The sequence below is a fragment of the Homo sapiens genome, chromosome 8 (genome assembly GCF_000001405.40).
Source record: "Homo sapiens chromosome 8, GRCh38.p14 Primary Assembly".
In the NCBI taxonomy this organism is placed as follows: domain Eukaryota; kingdom Metazoa; phylum Chordata; class Mammalia; order Primates; family Hominidae; genus Homo; species Homo sapiens.
Genome location: NC_000008.11, coordinates 7,599,034 through 7,617,127, shown reverse-complemented (window position 1 = coordinate 7,617,127; position 18,094 = coordinate 7,599,034). Strand labels below are relative to the sequence as shown.

The 18,094-nt window shown below is 49.6% G+C and overlaps 1 long non-coding RNA gene and 2 pseudogenes across 5 annotated transcripts, besides 1 other annotated feature; all 3 read right to left on the bottom strand.

Annotated features, from left to right (window-relative positions):
- LOC124901865 (translation initiation factor IF-2-like) overlaps positions 1-3,404 on the bottom strand; it is a 451,468-nt pseudogene extending 448,064 nt beyond the window's left edge.
- Positions 3,405-3,449: 45 nt separating this feature from the next.
- LOC107986910 (uncharacterized) lies at positions 3,450-6,306 on the bottom strand. Of its 5 annotated transcripts, XR_001745778.1 has the most exons (5): positions 6,070-6,306; positions 5,438-5,678; positions 5,136-5,299; positions 3,750-3,927; positions 3,450-3,630 (listed from the first exon to the last, which is right to left on the bottom strand). It is a non-coding gene; the product is annotated as an uncharacterized LOC107986910 (long non-coding RNA). The 5 variants fall into 5 exon arrangements; XR_002956677.1 differs by lacking the exon at positions 3,450-3,630 and having other exon boundaries at positions 3,637-3,927; XR_005646964.2 differs by lacking the exons at positions 3,450-3,630; positions 5,136-5,299 and having other exon boundaries at positions 3,637-3,927.
- Positions 8,601-9,101: an enhancer, noted in NCBI's record as "H3K4me1 hESC enhancer chr8:7465549-7466049 (GRCh37/hg19 assembly coordinates)". NCBI's record gives its function as "activates a minimal SCP1, AML or CMV promoter by ChIP-STARR-seq in primed H9 embryonic stem cells {active_cell/tissue: H9 hESC(primed)}" and the evidence as "EXISTENCE:reporter gene assay evidence [ECO:0000049][PMID:30033119]".
- VPS51P15 (VPS51 pseudogene 15) lies at positions 15,861-16,124 on the bottom strand (annotated as a pseudogene).

Below are 18,094 nucleotides of genomic sequence, written 5' to 3'. Positions count from 1 at the left end.
GAATTCCGCCTGCAGGATGACATGAATGCACCTTCCCATTGCCTACCAACAGACCTTTTTTGAGCATCACTGTGGACCAGGTGTGGTGATGGGGGAGGGGATATTGTGGAGAACATGACAGGCATTGCCTTCACCAAGTGGGGCTCAGCGCTGGGTGGGAAGGCATTGAGAATGGACATTGTCAATTGGGCCAAAGGAGGCCAAGGAGAAGTGCTGGGGGCATGGGAACTGAAAAAGACAGGAGGCTCAGCAGGTCTTGGAGCTGGGAAAGTGACAGCAGCAGCGGCTGTTCCAAAGGAAGCAACAGCTGAGAGAGGTCTCGGAGAGTTGTTCTCAGCCCAGTGGAGGGTGTTCAGGCAGAGGGAACAGCGTGTGCAAAAGCCCAGAGGCTGGGAAAGAAGCAGAAAGAGGACTGTGGGGCTGGAGCATGGTGGGCAAGGGGAGGAAGGTGTGGTGGGCAGACAGATTGACTGGGACCCAGCTGTGCAGGGGCAGAGGAGATAGGGGATCCTTGCAGGCCCCCAGCCGGGGCTCAGGCACAGAGACAATGCAGGTGGGCAAAGGGAGGAGACGTGGAGAAATATTTTGGAGGCATGCCCTGATGAATGAGCCCAGGATGCACCCTTAGTGTCAGTGTGGAGCTCCTTCCTTGACTGTGTGATGAGTTGAACTCGGGGGTATTTTCTGGACATTGAGGTGCTACACCAAGAGCCCAGGACAGGCTAAGTGAGCACTAGCAGCTCCTGGCCCACCTCAAAAGCAGGAGAGACAGGGGAGACTGGGGAGGCCGGGGTGGAAGGGGAAGCCAGGAAGGTAGGAGAGGCCAGGGAAGCAGAGGAGGCCAGGGAGGCAATGGAGGCAGGAGAGGCTGGGGAGGTTATGTCCTTTCCATGATTCTGCCCTGGATCCTAGGCCCCTGAACTCCCTGAGCTTCCCCACCCCAAGCGCTGGAACCAGGTTGCACAATGGTCTCCCCACTAAGCTCCTGATGGCAGCCCCTACCCTGCTGTGCTCCCTATTTCAACCCTAACAGCTCTCACAGTGGGCAGCACATAGTAGGTGCTCAGGAAACACTGGTGGGAGAGCACGTGGGTCTGCTCAGCACCTTCCTCTCTCCTCCAGCTCTCCCCATCATGAAATAATTCTGATAACGACACATGGACTTTGAGACCCTCTTCTATTACTTTCCATATGCTAATGCATCTATACCTCACAGCAGCCCTGGGGGAGGGTGCAATGAGGATGCCCATTTTATAGAGGAGGAGACTGAGGTATAAAGAGGGTAAGTGACATACGCACACTACAGGGGCTGGGGCCAAGTGATCAGAGCACTCAATCCCCAAAGGCAAGGTAGATGCAGTTATCATAAAAGACAGCAGAGTCAAAGCTGCAACCAGAATAGCCTGACTCCCAGCGACCTATGGTGCCTGCTGATCGTGGCTTTCCTAGAAGTGAAATAGATAAGAAGCCTGCCACATTTCACTTGATCTGTGTTTGCAGAAGTGCTCTAGGTCAAGTGAGCAGAAGTCTAATCTGAATCATAAAAACAGAGTCACAGTCCCCAGTCAATTTCCAGACATAAGCCAGTTCACAGACCTGGAGTCCCTTGTCTGAATGAGAAGCCAGGTCCCCTCCAGAAAGGACTCTGCTCCACTGCCAAAAATTTATACTGTCAGTCTTTCTCCCAACCTGCCCCCAAGGGAATACACAGCCTTTCGCCAGGATGACTGAACAGGAGAAAAGGAACTAATGAGACCTGTGCAGGATCACTGGACACAGGCTCTGAACTGGCACTAGGGCGAGACTAGGTTCTACCAGTCAGAATAGGCATTTTGGAGGTCAGGTGAATGTTGGTGCAAGTTCATGTCACGGTAGGTCCATTGGGTCCCCAAATCCATCCTCTGGTTATATACAAAGCGGCAATGCTGAGATTCAAATTCAGGGCATCCGACATAGAGCCTGGGCTCTTACTCATGAAACATTCTGACACTAGTAACCAATTTAAAAGTGTAAACACCTCCTGGGACTAGAATGGGTCCCCAAAACAGTCATGTAAATTGGTTCTGTCAAGAATTTCCTCCCACCCCCTGCTGAGAGCCAGTTGTAAGGAGAGACTAGGGAAGGGCATTGGGTAACTTTGTTGCTAAAAGCTCTTCTGGATAAAGACGTATGGGAAAAGAAGCAAATAGAGTTCAGCAGAAGAGGTAAGAAAGTAAGTTTATGTTTGGCCAGGCACGGTGGCTCACGCCTGTAATCCCAGCACTTGAGAAGGCCGAGGCGGGCAGATCACGAGGTCAAGAGATCGGACTATCCTGGCCAACATGGTGAAGCCCCGTCTCTACTAAAAATTCAAAAATTAGATGGGCATGATGGCGCGCGCCTGTAGTCCCAGTTACTCGGTAGCCTGAGGCAGGAGAATCACTTGAACCCAGGAGGTGGAGATTGCAGTGAGCGGAGATCATGCCACTGCACTCCAACCTGGGCAACAGAGTAAGACTCTGTCTTAAAAAAAAATTAAAATAAATAAATGCTATGCGCAGCATTTTCCATGTACTGTCTTATTATCTCGGTGAATCCCATATAACCTTCCTATGAAAGTGTATCTCATTTATCTCCATTTTATAGATGAGAAAACTGAGGCCCCTGGAGTAGTATTAATTTTCCAAGACCGCATTGCTCATAAAGGGTACAGCAGGGACCCAAGCTCGACACTCTCACCCTCAAACATTTATACAAGTGTGGACCAATGGCTCTCAACTGGGGTGGTTTTGCTCACGTACCGCTCCCTTGCCCCACATTATTTGAAACCATCTGGAGACGTCTGGGGTAGCCATAGCAGGGAGGGTAGAATGGCACCTAGAGGATGGAGACCACAGATGCTGCTAACCATCCTTCAATACACAGGACAGCCCCACCACCAGCACCACGAATGGTCTCACCACAAATATTCTGACTGTGCCAAAGCTGAGAAACCCAGGTTTCTCCTCAGCAAGAAGGAAAATCCCTGCAACGTGGATGCACCTCTACAGGAGCCCCAGGCTGACAATAACCTTCCTGATCTGGTTTCAACCCTGGATGCTTTTACCTGGTGCGTCCATCAGGGATTTCAGGGACTCCAGTGAGTTATCACCCTTGAATGCTCGGTTCTGCCTGACAACCCAGAAATCTCTGCCGAGGTGCCTGGTCTTGCGGAAGACTCAGCAAGTGGTTGAGGTGGACAACCAAATACCTAGGAGAGACTTTTCTCTCCCTCCAGGAGGAGCTGTGGGTCAGACACACACTGGGATCATTCACAAGCGGTCAATAAAGGCTTGAGGAGGGGCAGATTTTCTAGGCCTTCTCAATGGGGTGGGTGTTTGTGGATAAACAAGAAGCCTGTGAAACTTCTGATATTGGGAGGAAATCAATGCCCCCCCCTCCACCCTCCCCCACCTCCCCACCATAAACACATGCCCTGCAGCAGGACTTGACACTCAGGGGCTCCTGGGGTCCCGATTAATCTGCTAAAACATCCTCTAGCCACCACCGAATAAAGCAACCGCTTGCCACCCAACCACAAGAGCACAGCCTGGGAGCCACTCCAAGGGACATCCAGTCACATTAAAACCTCAGCCATCCAGAGCACCAGTCCTGGTGATGAGAAAGAACATTTTATCCTTAAAAGCATCTGAATGCCCATGCTGCTTCTTGCAGAGAAAAGTCCAAAATAATCTGTTATTAAAGAACGAGGATGGTTTTGACATTTTTACCAAGCTAGTGGTCTACGCAGACAAAATCTCATAAAAGGGCACTCTGTTCTTCTTGATCCACTCAGACATGGCCTGTGAGTGAAGAAACGGGCTCTCCTCCTCAAAGAAATCACTGCTGATCCTCGTACCAGCCTGACACTGCTTCATGGGTTCTTCAAAGAGAGTATTCCCATAGGAACTAAAAGGGAAGAGGAATGTGTCTGGCGGGCATTGTGGGCAGCAGTGAGCTTTGGGCCAAATTTTAAGTTTGAAAATCAAGATTCCCTCTTTTCAAGGGGCTGCCGGACTGAGCAGATACAGGCACCGTGAAAAGAGCGTGCCATGTTCAGATTCAGGAAACAAGGATGGTTTCTGTTCAGTTCCTCCATCATCCTTCAGGTCATGCGATTCCCATTTCCCTCTGTGGACCAAACAATTCAGTGGGGTTTCTGCCTTTTAAACATTTCATTATCAACATATCATCCTTTTAGCCTCCAGAAAGCATTTTAACATGGAGATTCTGGCTTAAGACTTTTGTGGGTCTGTCTCTCTCTCTTTTCCTTGAAACGGTCTCACTTTGTCACCCAGGCTGGAGTGCAGTGGCATGATCACAGCTCACTGCAGCCTGACCTTCTAGGCTCTAGCAATCCTCCCACCTCAGCCTCCCAAGTACTTGAGACTGCAGGCACTCACCACCATAACTGCCTTTTTTTTTTTTTTTTTTTTTTGGGAGATATGAGGCTTCACCATGTTGCTCAGGCTGGTCTTAAACTCCTGGGCTCAAGCGATCCTCCCCCTTCGGCCTCTCAAAGTGCTGGGATTATTGGCTTCAGCCACCATGCCCAGCCAAGAACCTTGTCTCTTGTGACGTACTCCAGAACAAAACATCACTGCAAAAACACATCAGGGCATGAGTTTTAGTCTTAAGTCCCACTTATCCACCATACACTATGTGCCAGGCACAACGCTAAGTGCTTCTATGGACGAGCTTCCCTTAATCTCAGCAGCAACAACCCCAGGCAATGGAGCCTGTTGACAGATCCATTTGCCACTGAAGACAGTAAGGCTCAGACAGGGTAAGTGGCTTGTGCCATGTCAGCCAGCTAAGGAGGGGCAGAACCAGGATGCAAACCCCAGCCGCCTGGCTCCAGAATCGCATTCCCAAGGTCTCACTACACTTGGCCTCTCCACCGCATTCTGGTATCCTGGTCTTTGGCAGAGTCCACGTAAAAGAGGGAGGTAGAGGGAGTGAGAGGGACTTCATGCAATAAAGTTTCCCGGCGTTACACTGACACCATAATTGTGTCCCCGACCAGGACCTCTCCCTTCTCATCCTTTCCGTGATCGGCCCTGGAAAACCTTCCAAAGAACTGTCCTCCTTCTCCCGGGATCTCAGAGAAAATTCACCTGAGTTCAGTGTCCAGGTGACCCAAGCTCTGAATGCGGTAACGTGGACGGGGAGATGAGGATGTCACCATGAGCAAGCCTCCCAGACAGCATCCAGGAGCAACCCCAAGACTGGGCGGGGGGGCTCTGATCCTGCCCATGGCGAGGAGGGCTGCCCATGCTGCCTAAATGGGTTCAGAATGAAGGCTGCACTCCCAACTTCAACCCGGGGACGGCCACGGAGCCTCCCGACGCCCCTTCGTCGCGTCCCCGGCACCCCCGAGCCCCCGGCACTCCCGGACCCCCGCGCCCGCATCACTTACTCCTTTGCCGTCGCCACCTGTCTGGGTGCCGGTCTCCTTCCTGCCTGGCAGCGGCGGGTCCTCCCCGTCCTCGCAGTCCTCGGGCTGTGCGCTTCCCCCCTCCAGCTACAGCCCCAGCCTCTTCTCTTCGGGAGGGACGTCCTCCTCCCCCATCCTGGGACTGCCATCCCTGCCTCGGGGCTTGCCAGTGGCTTCGGAGCTGCTGGAAGGGCTGGCCATGGCTCCGCGGGCTCTGCCTGAACTTGGGGAAGAAGAAGGACCCGGCTCAAGCGGCTTCTCGGCGGAGCTGGGGCGTCTGAGCACGGGCTCGGTGGGTCCGCGCGGCGCGGAGCTGGGTATCGGGGCCGGCCCGGGCTCCTCCGCGGGCCGCGCCTGGCTCTCTGGCGCCCTCTTCTGGCCGCTCTCGCGCACCTCTGCCACGCCGGGCCCAGGCCTGCGCAGCTGTCACATGTCCTGGCCCAGGAGGTCGCTGTCCCTTGCCCATGGACAGGCCCGCTCTGGCAATGCCCTGCACCACCTCCCCGCCCCAGCCAGGTTGCACCCCGATGGTCTCCCTGCCCAAGGAGGAGAGAAGAGAAGGGACGCCACGAGAGGGTGGACATCGGCCACAGCCACCTTGTCTTTGCTCTTACCGTGTGTCTTCCATGATTTGGAGGTGGTGGGAAACCCGAGGCTGCTCAAAACTCGTGGAGAATTCCGCCTGCAGGATGACATGAATGCACCTTCCCATTGCCTACCAACAGATCTTTTTTGAGCATCACTGTGGACCAGTCGTGGTGATGGGGGAGGGGATATTGTGGTGAACATGACAGGCATTGCCTTCACCAAGTGGGGCTCAGCGCTGGGTGGGAAGGCATTGAGAATGGACATTGTCAGTTGGGCCAAAGGAGGCCAAGGAGAAGTGCTGGGGGCATGGGAACTGAAAAAGACAGGAGGCTCAGCAGGTCTTGGAGCTGGGAGAGGGACAGCAGCAGCGGCTTTTCCAAAGGAAGCAACAGCTGAGAGAGGTCTCAGAGAGTTGTTCTCAGCCCAGTGGAGGGTGTTCAGGCAGAAGGAACAGCGTGTGCAAAAGCCCAGAGGCTGGGAAAGAAGCAGAAAGAGGACTGTGGGGCTGGAGCGTGGTGGGCAACAGGAGAGAGGTGTGGTGGGCAGACAGATTGCCTGGGACCCAGCCGTGCAGGGGCAGAGGAGATAGAGGATCCTTGCAGGCCCCCAGCTGGGGCTGAGGCACAGAGACAATGCAGGTGGGCAAAGGGAGGAGACGTGGAGAAATATTTTGGAGGCATGCCCTGATGAATGAGCCCAGGATGCACCCTTAGTGTCAGTGTGGAGCTCCTTTCTTGGCTGTGTGATAAGCTGAACCCGGGGGTATTTTCTGGACACCGAAGTGCTACACCCAGAGTCCAGGACAGGCTAAGTGAGCACCAGCAGCTCCTGGCCCACCTCAAAAGCAGGAAAGACAGGGGAGACTGGGGAGGCCGGGGTGGAAGGGGAAGCCAGGAAGGCAGGAGAGGCCAGGGAACAGAGGAGGTCAGGGAGGCAGGGGAGGCAGGGGAGGCTGGGGCGGCTGTGTCCTTTCCATGATTCTGCCCTGGATCCTAGGCCCCTGTAGTCCCTGGGCTTCCCCACCCCCAAGCACTGTAACCATGTTGCACAACGGTCTCCCCACTAAGCTCCTGATGGCAACCCCTATCCTGCTGTTCTCCCTATTTCAACCCTAACAGCTCTCACAGTGGGCAGCACATAGTGGGTGCTCAGGAAACACTGGTGGGAGAGCACGTGGGTCTGCTCAGCACCTTCCTCTCTCCTCCAGCTCTCCCCTGTCACGAAATAATTCTGATAACGACACATGGGCTTTGAGACCCTCTTCTATTACCTTCCATATGCTAATCCATCTATACCTCACAGCAGCCCTGGGGGTGGGTGCAATGAGGATGCCCATTTTATAGAGGAGGAGACTGAGGTATAAAGAGGGTAAGTGACATACGCACAGTACAGGGGCTGGGGTCAAGTGATCAGAGCACTCAATCCCCAAAGGCAAGGTGGATGCAGTTACCATAAAAGACAGCAGAGTCAAAGCTGCAACCAGAATAGCCTGACTCGCAGAGACCTATGGTGCCGGCTGATCGTGGCTTTCCTAGAACTGAAATAGATAAGAAGCCTGCCACATTTTTACTTGATCTGTGTTTGAAGAAGAATTCTAGGTCAGGTGAGCAGAAGTCTAATCTGAATCATAAAAACAGAGTCACAGTCCCCCGTCAATTCCCAGACATAAGCCAGTTCACAGACCTGGAGTCCCTTGTCTGAATGGGAAGCCAGGTCCCCTCCAGAAAGGACTCTGCTCCACTGCCAAAAATTTATACTGTCAATCTTTCTCCCAGCCTGTCCCCAAGGGAATACACAGCCTTTACCAGGATGACTGAATAGGAGAAAAAGAACTAATGGGACCTGTGCAAGACCACTGGACACAGGCTCTGAACTGGCACTAGGGCGAGACTAGGGTCTACCAGTCAGAATAGGCATTTTGGAGTTCAGGTGAATGTTGGTCCAAGTTCATGTCATGGTAGATCCATTGGGTCCCCAAATCCGTCCTCTGCTTATATACAAAATGGCCATGTTGAGACTTAAATTCAGGGTATCCAACTTAGAGGCTGTGCTCTTACTCATGAAACATTCTGACACTAGTAACCAATTTAAAAATGTAAACACCTCCTGGGGCTAGTGAGAGTCCTCCAAACAGTCATGTAAATTGGTTCTGTCAAGGATTTCCTCCTACCCACCCCCCCCCACCACTGAGAGTCAGTTGCAAGGAGAGACTAGGGAAAGGCATTGGGTAACTTTGTTGCTAAAAGTTCTTCTGGATAAACAAGAGCCTTATCCAGGAAAAAGAAGCAAAATAGAGTTCAGCAGAAGTTGCGAAAAGAAGCACATAGAGTTCAGCAGAAGAGGTAAGAAAGTAAGTTTATGTTTGACCAGGCACGGTGGCTCACGCCTGTAATCCTAGCACTTTGGGAAGCCAAGGCGGGCAGATCACGAGGTCAAGAGATCGCACCATCCTGACCAAAAAGGTGAAGCCCCGTCTGTACTAAAAATTCAAAAATTAGCTGGCCATGATGGCACACGCCTATAGTCCCAGCTACTCGGGAGCCTGAGGCAGGAGAATCACTTGAACGCAGGAGGCAGAGGTTGCAGTGGGCCGAGATCATGCCACTGCATTCCAACCCGGTGACAGAATTAGACTCCATCTCATAAAACAAAACAAAACAAACAAAAAAAAGTAAGCTTATTTTTAAGCCTGAACAAGTGTAGTGGTTTAGGGGTTCTGCAAACACGGCCCCAATCAGGCTACAAGATGTTCTGGCAGCAATATTTACAGCCAGTCACTCCTGGCCGGCTGAGCCACTTTTCAAAACACCCTTGCACAGCTGTGCAGAGAGGCTGGCTCCACTGGCTGCCGGCAGAGCCATAACTCACAGTGTCACCGCTGCCCTCAAACCACTTCGGTAAGCACTTTGTATTTTTGAGACGGAGTCTTGCTCTGTCATCCAGGCTGGAGTGCAGTGGCACAATCTCGGCTCACTGCAAGCCCCGCCTCCTGGGTTCATGCCATTCTCCTGCCTCAGCCTCCCAAGTAGCTGGGACTACAGGTGCCCGCCACCATGCCCGGCTAATTTTTTGTATTTTTAGTAGAGACGGGGTTTCACCGTGTTATCCAGGATGGTCTCAATCTCCTGACCTTGTGATCTGCCTGCCTCGGCCTCCCAAAGTGCTGGGATTACAGGCGTGAGCCACCGCGCCCGGCCTGGTAAGCACTTTTAATCAATGCAACAGGAATAAACATTTGCTGCAGAGCGGCAATGTGCAGGGAAGAACATGCTTCCACTTAGGATCAGAAAGCAAAACCTCCTGGCTGTTTGCATCTATGCAAGAGCTCACAGGAAAAGCCCTCTGTGTGGCTGCCAGCCTCACACACTCCCCCCAAGGGGTGAATTTCTCTTTCCATGTTAATCTATGCTCTGACGTGCCATCTGTCAACCACCACACCATTCTCAGTTGACATTTCAAAGCATCTTTGCCCTGAGAATGGTCACCAGCTCTGCCCTGCAAGCCCCCAGGTGACAATGAACTTAAATGAGAGAGAAAACAGGTTTCGAGGTGGATTTCAGTTCAGCATCTTGGAGTCTCTGTGTGGACATGAAATCTGTCTCCCCAGCTGTGGACTGCATCCTTGTTTGTCATCTGGTTTGGTTCTTGGGGACTTGGAAACTCGTGGGCACCTTTGCAATTTGTCAAGAAGCTGCATGGCCCTTCCAACAAAAGCAAGGAATAGAAACAGAAGCCCAAGGCTTCAGATCAAGGTGCAATTTAAAGCAGCCTCAGTATAAAAGCAAACAAGAGCCAGAGGGATGCCTAAGGCAGAGTCTAGACCCCAGGGCAGCTATAAGGCAAAGAGAAAGAGAGAGAGAGACAGAGACAGAAAGACAGAGAGAGATGGGAGGAGACATGAGGCACCCAGGCATCTGGATCAAAATCCCTACAAGAGGAGCCTCCTAAAAATGCAGGAGGCTGAGGTGGGTGCACACAGAAGTTCAAGACTAGCCTGGGCAACACAGCAAGACCGTGTCTTTACAAAAAATACAAAAATTAGCCGGGTGTGGTGGTGTATGTCTGTGGTCCCAGTTACCCAAGAGACTGAGGTGGGAGGATTGCTTGAGCCCAGGAGATAGAGCTGCAGCAAGCTGAGATAGCACCACTGCACTCCAGCCTGGGCAACAGAGTGAGACTTCATCACAAAAAAATTTAAAAAATTTTTTAAAAAGGATCACCCCGGCTACTCGAATGGGTAATAAGAAGGTAAGAGCAGAAGCAAGGAGACCAGCAGGGACATTCTGCAGGTGGGAGTCCACAGAGGTTCAGACCAGGCTGGGGCTGAAGACTGCCTGAATTCTGTGTATATTTTGATGATGAAGCAACTCACCGACTCTTGAAGAGTGGGCTCCAGGAGATGGTATTTTTAACAAGGTCTCAGAGGATTCTAATGCAGGCTGAAGTTGAAGAACTGCTTTAGGTGAAGCTTCTGTTTCATCCTTGGGGAAGTACCTACTGACTTTTCTCTAAGCCACCACAAAAGAGGTGCTAGACAAGATGTGCTCCAATGTCTGAACATGTGTGCACAGCTGTAGAGCCAACCTAAGGACACTGAGTCAAAGGTTAGGAGTACAACAGTGAACAACCACTGTCCTCTTTTCAATAAGCTTTCATTTAATGAGAGAAATAAAAAGCAAAAAAAAAAATCATTTTCAACTCAGAATGGTAAGAGTTATGGTGACAGTATGCCTGGGGCAATGGGAGCACATAGAAGGGGCACCCAATCGGCCAGGTGCAGTTGTTCATGCCTGTATTCCCAGCACTTCGGGAGGCCAAGGTGGGTGGATCACTTGAGGCCAGGAGTTCGAAAACAGCCTGGCCAACATGGTGAAATCCTATCTTTACTAAAAATACAAAAAAATTAGCCAGATGTGGTGGGGGGCACCTGTAATTCCAGATACTCAGAAGGCTGAGGTGGGAGAATTGCTTGAACCCGGGTGGTGGAGATTGCAGTGAGCCAAGATCGCACCACTGCATTCCAGCTTGCATGGTCAGAGCGAGACTCTTTCAAAAAAAAAAAAAAAGAAAGAAAAAAGAAAAAGCTCGGAGGTGGGTGGGCATGCAATCTATATCGGGTGGTGAGAAATCCTTCTCCACCACAGGACTCCTCAGTTGAAGACTAGAAAATGGTAGGAACTAGCCAGGTCGATAGGAGAGGTGTGGAAGATCATTCTCAGCAGAGGGAAGAGCATGTGTAAAAATCGAGACGTGAGAGGGTGAGGAGCTGAGAGATGTTCATATAATTGTAAAAAGTGAGTAATATAGAGGTAAGTTGGAGGCAAATCTTAAAGGCTCTTTGTCGTGTCTATCCTGTAGAGAAAGGGAGACAGTAGATGTTTTTATGCAGGGGAGTAATGATCCACTTTGTGCTAGAAGAAGAGCAGTCTGGCTGGAGGAGAGTGGGTGGTGAGTAGACCAGGTAGGAGGCTGCAATACGCCAAGTGAGACAAGATGGTTGGCTGGACCAAGGCTGTGGCAGTGAGGATGGAGAGGAGACAGTAGACTAACTTGACTGAGAAAGAGGGAGGAATGAAGGAGGAGGCCCAGGTGATTTGGAAGCTGGGTGGATGGTGGTGTGAATCTGACGTGGTGAGCCCTGGCAGAAGAGGAAATCAGGAGAGGAAAGGTAAGATGAGGTCAATGCAAGACAGACAGCCAAGTGGAGATAACAACTGGGCAGTTGGATTCATCAGCCTGGAGTTATACAGAGAGCTCTGGAATGGAAATAAAGAGGAAAGGACTTTGGGAATAGGTGAATCCTCCCAGAATAATGTGTAAGAAAGGAGCATAGAACACAGGGGACAGAAAAAGGGAAGAGATTTGTTATTAAAACCAACCATCCATCAGACATCTTCCAATAAAACACTTGTTAGAGGTTTCCTCAGTGTGAGTTATTCAGGACCAGAGCTAAAGACCATATTCCCAATAAAATAACTGCTGGGAAGGTCTTCATGAAAACATTTAATGCTGCTTTTAAAACAACAACAATAAAAAGGCTTTAGCTACTGCACAGACCCTGGAGCAATTTTTCGGCAAGAGTCTATCAAACACGAATCTGATCTGACTCAAGGAGGTGTCATATCAAGTGTAAAAATCCAATTCCAATGTCCATAAGAGCCTTTCTGCCAGGTACAAGACCCTAATCCAGTTGAAGTGATTTTCTATTGATTAATAGGCTGGGAATACACAGGTTGTTGGTTTTTGAGATTTCCCTCCCTGTGCCTTCATGCCAGCTGTGAAAGAGTCAAAAGGCTCCTAACTGTCAAAATAAAAATGACACTTGGTCACAGAGGAAGCAGATTATAGGTCAATCACATTGATGACTTTTTAATTATGAGAAGCCATTAATGTTACTGAATAAGCAAATCTGTTTGCATAAGCAGATTTTTATAGGCTACTGGGAATAAAGGTTTTCCTAAGTGGGTGATTTGTACAACGATAGCCTTTGGGTCTCTGATGGAACAGCTCTGATGAGGAAATGTTCCTTTAATTATGTGGAAGGCCAATTACCACGTTATAGCCACATTGTTTTGCAGATTGCATATAATTTCACCATTTCCATAGTTTCAGCACTATAATTCTGGAGAAAATTCAGGCACCAAGGAGACACTTGAGGCACACTATGCTGGAGACAAAGATGTTTTAGCGAATTCAATTTAAGCTTCAACATTAAAGTTATTTTGTTGAATAAAACATAATGCAATAATGAGCTTGTGTATGTCAACTCTATAGTGCAGGTAATAATAGCTAGAGAGAGCATATCCCGTCTCCTCTTTTTAATGCTCATTTGAGTAATACATAATGCTATAGAGAGAACTTTTCTCTAATATGTGCTTCACCTCAGGCTAAGCGTGTTTTGGGCAACTGTGCTTCATGAAAAAAAGGTAAAGGATCTAATTTGGGAGCCACTCACAAAAGTGCTACCACTTGATGTTTTTTTATACTCTGAGATTTCTTATTCCCAGTGCCTACCAGGAATGGACTTTCTGGAGAAGCTCAGATTAATCACTCCTTATGAGAGGTAACAGCGTGTTGGCAGCCCTCACAGCCCTCGTTCACTCTCGGCACCTCCTCTGCCTGGGCTCCCACTTTGGCAGCACTTGAGGAGCCCTTCAGCCCACGGCTGCATGGTGGGAGCCCCTTTCTGGGCTGGCCGAGGTCAGAGCTGGCTCCCTCAGCTTGCAGGGAGGCATGGAGGGAGAGGCATGAGCTGGAACTGGGGCTACGTGTGCTGCTTGCCTGCCGGCTGGAGTTCTGGATGGGCGTGGGCTTGGTGGCCCTGCACTAGGAGCTGCCGGCTGGCCTTGCCGGCCGGGGCTGTGAGGGGCTTAGCACCTGGGCCAGCAGCTGCTGTGCTCGACTTCTCACCGGGCCTTAGCTGCCTCCCTGCGGGGCAGGGCTCGGGACCTGCAGCCTGCCATTCCTTAGCCTCCCCCCTCTGTGGGCTCCTGTACGGCCCAAGCCTCCCCGATGAGCACCGCCCCCTGCTCCATGGCGCCCAGTCCCATCGACCACCCAAGGGCTGAGGAGTGTGGGTGCATGGAGAGGGACTGGCAGGCAGCTCCACCTGCAGCTCCTGTGCTGGGTCCACTGGGTGAAGCCAGCTGGGCTCCTGAGTCTGGTGGGGACTTGTAGAACTTTATGTCTAGGTAAGGGATTGGAAATACACCAATTGGCACTCTGTATCTAGCTCAAGGTTTGTAAACACACTAATCAGCACCCTGTATCTAGCTCAGGGTTTATGAATGCACCAATTGACACTCTGTATCTAGCTACTAGGGTGGGGACTTGGAGAACCTTTGTGTGGACACTCTGTATCTAGCTAATCTAGTGGGGACGTGGGGAGCATTTGTGTCTAGCTCAGGGATTGTAAACGCACCAATCAGTGCCCTGTCAAAACAGACCACTCAGGCTCTCTGTAAAATGGACCAATCAGCAGGATGTGGGTGGGGCCAGGTAAGAGAATAAAAGCAGGCTGCCCGAGCCAGCAGTGGCAACCCACTGGGGTCCCCTTCCACACTGTGGAAGCTTTGTTCTTTTGCTCTTTGCAATAAATCTTGTTGCTGCTCACTCTTTGGGTCCACACTGACTTTATGAGCTGTAACACTCACCGAGAAGGTCTGCAGCTTCTCTCCTGAAGCCAGCAAGACCATGAACCCACTGGGAGAAATGAACAACTCCAGACCTGCAGCCGTAAGAGCTGTAACACTCACCGTGAAGATCTGCAGCTTCACTCCTGAGCCAGCGAGACCACGAGCCCCACCTGAAGGAAGAAACTTCAAACACATCCGAACATCAGAAGGAACAAACTCCAGACACGCCACCTTTAAGAACTGTAACACTCACCAGGAGGGTCCACAGCTTCGTTCTTGAAGTCAGTGAGACCAAGAACCCACCAATTCTGGACACACTTATACACTTGGCACTGGGAGGTCTGTATGGAGCAAGTGAAGAAATCAGCAGAGTGAAGATAGAAGGAGAACAACATGATGGGGGAAAGGCAAAGTTAGTGCCACATTGGTTTCAATTCTGCCACTCATGAGTGAGACCCATGACCTCCTCTCTCTAGGACTCTGTTTTTCTTATATGTAGAGTGGAGGAATAGAAGGGCCTTTTAAAGTATTAACATTTCCTGACCTATCTGTAAAACACTTTCATTCAAACTGATGGGAATCTTGACTACTTTGCCAAGAGGACATAATAATCATCAAGCTGAATGCACCAAACAGCATTGCCTGAAACTATCTAAGCAAAAACTGAGAAAGTTACACAGGACAGACAAACCTCCTATGAGAGTAAGAACTCTTCAGCACATGCTTAGTGTGTCAAAGACAATACTGTGTTCACACCATTCCTCTTCCTGGACATGCAGAAAGACTACATTTCCCAGCCTCATTTGCAGTTAGTTTGGAACCATGTGACTGCATTTCCACCAATAGGAATGTAAGAAATCACTTCTGGGCCAAGGTTATCAAAGTGTGAGCTATGTTCCCTCTCTTCCTATCCATATGGCTACAAGTGAAAAACTCTGAGATGGCAGAATTAAAAGATGGAAACCTCCAGAATCTCTGAATCACTGTTGGACAAGGGCCCCCAAGGAGAACCCCTGCCCTGCACCAGACTATGCTATGGGTGTCAACCCACTGAGAGTTCAGGGTTTATTCGTCTCAGCAGCAGTCTATTGTTACACTGACTAACATCCTGAGGTTTGAGAGGTCTAGCATATTGTTAACTGAAGTTAGATTTCAATTACACTGAGAACCTTATCTATTTCAAAATAAAAACTCTCCTAAAAAAAAAATCCACATTCCTTTTAACCACATGTGGCAAATTTGCAAAAAAAAAAAAAAAAAAAAAAAAACTGGCCACATATTAGGCCATAAAGAAGTCTCAACAAAATCCACTATACGATTGACAGTGTCCAGACCACATTTTCCTGACCATAATGCCACAAAATTAGAAGTCAACAGCAAGAAGATAGCTAAACACAAGCATATATTTGGAAAATTAAAAATATCCTTTCATGAGTTAAATGAAAAATCACAATAGAAATTACTAAACATTTACAACTGAATGAAAACACAACTTTATATATATATGTATATATATATAATATGTATATATATATATATATATATATATATATATATATATATTTTTTGTGAGTCTTCCAAATTTGTTCTTCTTTTACAAGGTTATTTGGGAAATTCTGGGTCTCCTGCAATTCCTCTTACAGTTTTATGCTGTGTGTCAATTTCTGTGGCTGGGTCTATGAGAACTTATCGTAGTTCTCATAGACCAGGGTTTGCATGTTGCTGTCTAGAGCCCGGATCTGCTGCACCATGTCCGTCTCACTATCCATCAGCTGGGCCAGAGGGCACTCTCTAGGAAGCTTGTCTAGGTAAACTTCCGGGTCGAAGTGTACCCCGTTCATATCAGTGGGGTCCAGGGGGTCGGTCCCCGCAGGGAGTCCCACCGCCTCCACTTCCGAGAGGCCGTTGTAAAACTTCAGCATCCTGTCCGCCTTCCACCGACGCTCCTTGAGCCTCCCCCTCGGGCCCTTCTGGGGAGTCCCCAGGTCCACACCCCGGGCTAGGCCCAGTGACAGCTGCCGCCGCCATAGCTCCAACTGCAGCCCACGGGCGTAACTTTTATATTTTTAAGTTGGATACATGGAGCTACTTGGCTTTTGCTTTCATCACCTCTTTGAGGAAAGAGCTGGTTGCTTATGGTACCCCTGTTTTTACTGCAACGTGTAATGGATGAGAACCTCCCTGTTGCAGAGAGCAAAACACTGAACTAAATTGTGCTGTAACACAGCTCTGTATTGGGGGAGTGGGAGTGATCATGCAAACGCTTGCAAATTTGCACAGTGACAGAGACAATCGTTTGGGCACCTGTTCACTATATGAAAAGGCAATTGACCAAAAGTCAGTTACTGAGCTATCTCAATACTTTCATTTTATTTTAACTTTTGGCAGCAGCGTGCAATTAAAGGAGAGAAAGAAAACAAAGTGATAAGTGTAAGATAATGTACACACATGTGTAAAAGAAAATGACAAGACAGGATGACCATTTGTCTCTTGGTTAGCTCCTTGGGCTCTATGTCTCCTTCCTCGGAGAACCTCGTTTTCCTTTGTCCAGATTTGTTAGGGTGGGTAATCCAGGCGCCTGCTCCCCCATGATGGAAGCCAAAGACATCCCTGGAGCAGCGTCCCGCTGCATCCTTTCCTGCACTGCCCACATGGACACAACTCAGCCGATTAGTCTTCCTCTCAGAACTTTAGTCTTGAGCAAAGGGATTAAAGGGTGAAGTGACTAAAGGTATGCCCTTCCAAAGTGGTACGTGAGCTAACGGCTAAAGTTTGCCATTTTTTCGTAATTTTTATTTATTTATTTTTTTGAGACGGAGTCTTGCTCTGTTGCCCAGGCAGGAGTGCAGTGGCGTGATCTCGATTCACTGCAACCTCTGTCTCCCGGCTTCAAAGGAGTCTCCTGTCTCAGCCTCCCCAGTAGCTGGGATGACAGGCGTATGCCACCATGCCTGGCTAATTTTTTTGAGTTTTTTTGGTATTTTTAGTAGAAACAGGGTTTCACCATGTTGGCCAGGCTGGTCTCGAAATCCTGACCTTGTGATTCGCCTGCCTCAGCCTCCCAAAGGGCTGGGATTACACACTTGAGCCAACGCGCCCAGCTTCAAAGAGTTTTAAGCAGAGCTCAGAGGTCTTAACCACAGGCACATCGGAGGAGCATTTTTGAAACACTTTCCAGCTTCCTCAATAGGAATGGAAGCCAAACTCCGAATTGATGACTCCTTTGAGGAAGTTGAGAGCTGTAAGGAAAGCCAGGAACAGGGGCAAGGGAGAGATGCGTCCCGAATGATCCTGTGCAAATTCTTTCTGGAATCCTTGATGTGATCTCAGCTGCCCTTTCTATACATGACACAGTGATTGTGGCACCCACTGGTCTAGCTGTGGTCAACAAGGAACCCACAAAGGGAAGGGCACAGTGAGTAGGGGCATCCGCCTGAGTGACGAGGATTTGAGAGGGCAGGTTGGTTGCAGGGAGAGGACTTGCCAAATGCCATGTGTCTGGACTTAGACTGCCTGGTTCAAATTGGACTTCGCCCTTTTTGACTTCGTGATCTGGTACAAGCTGCATGAAAATCCGTTGCGCTTTTTCTAGTCTGTAAAATCATCATGAAATGTGCACTAATAACGTGGAGACTATGCAGATGAAATGAAACAAGCTGCATAGAGCACAGAGCTCAGAGCCTGGCCTTTAGGAAGCCCTCAGTAAGGGTTCATGATGCCATGGTGTCTGTCGTCATCCTCTTTATCCTCATCATCACCTTCATAATCTCTTTGTTGTTCTTAGGGAATAGTTAGAGGGACTGATTCCCTGCTATCATGGGTGAGATGTTTATGAAAAGGACAACCAGTGGGGGAGGAAAGCAAAATTTTGAATAAGATTTCTGAGACCCCCAGCACAACCAAGAACATAAACTGC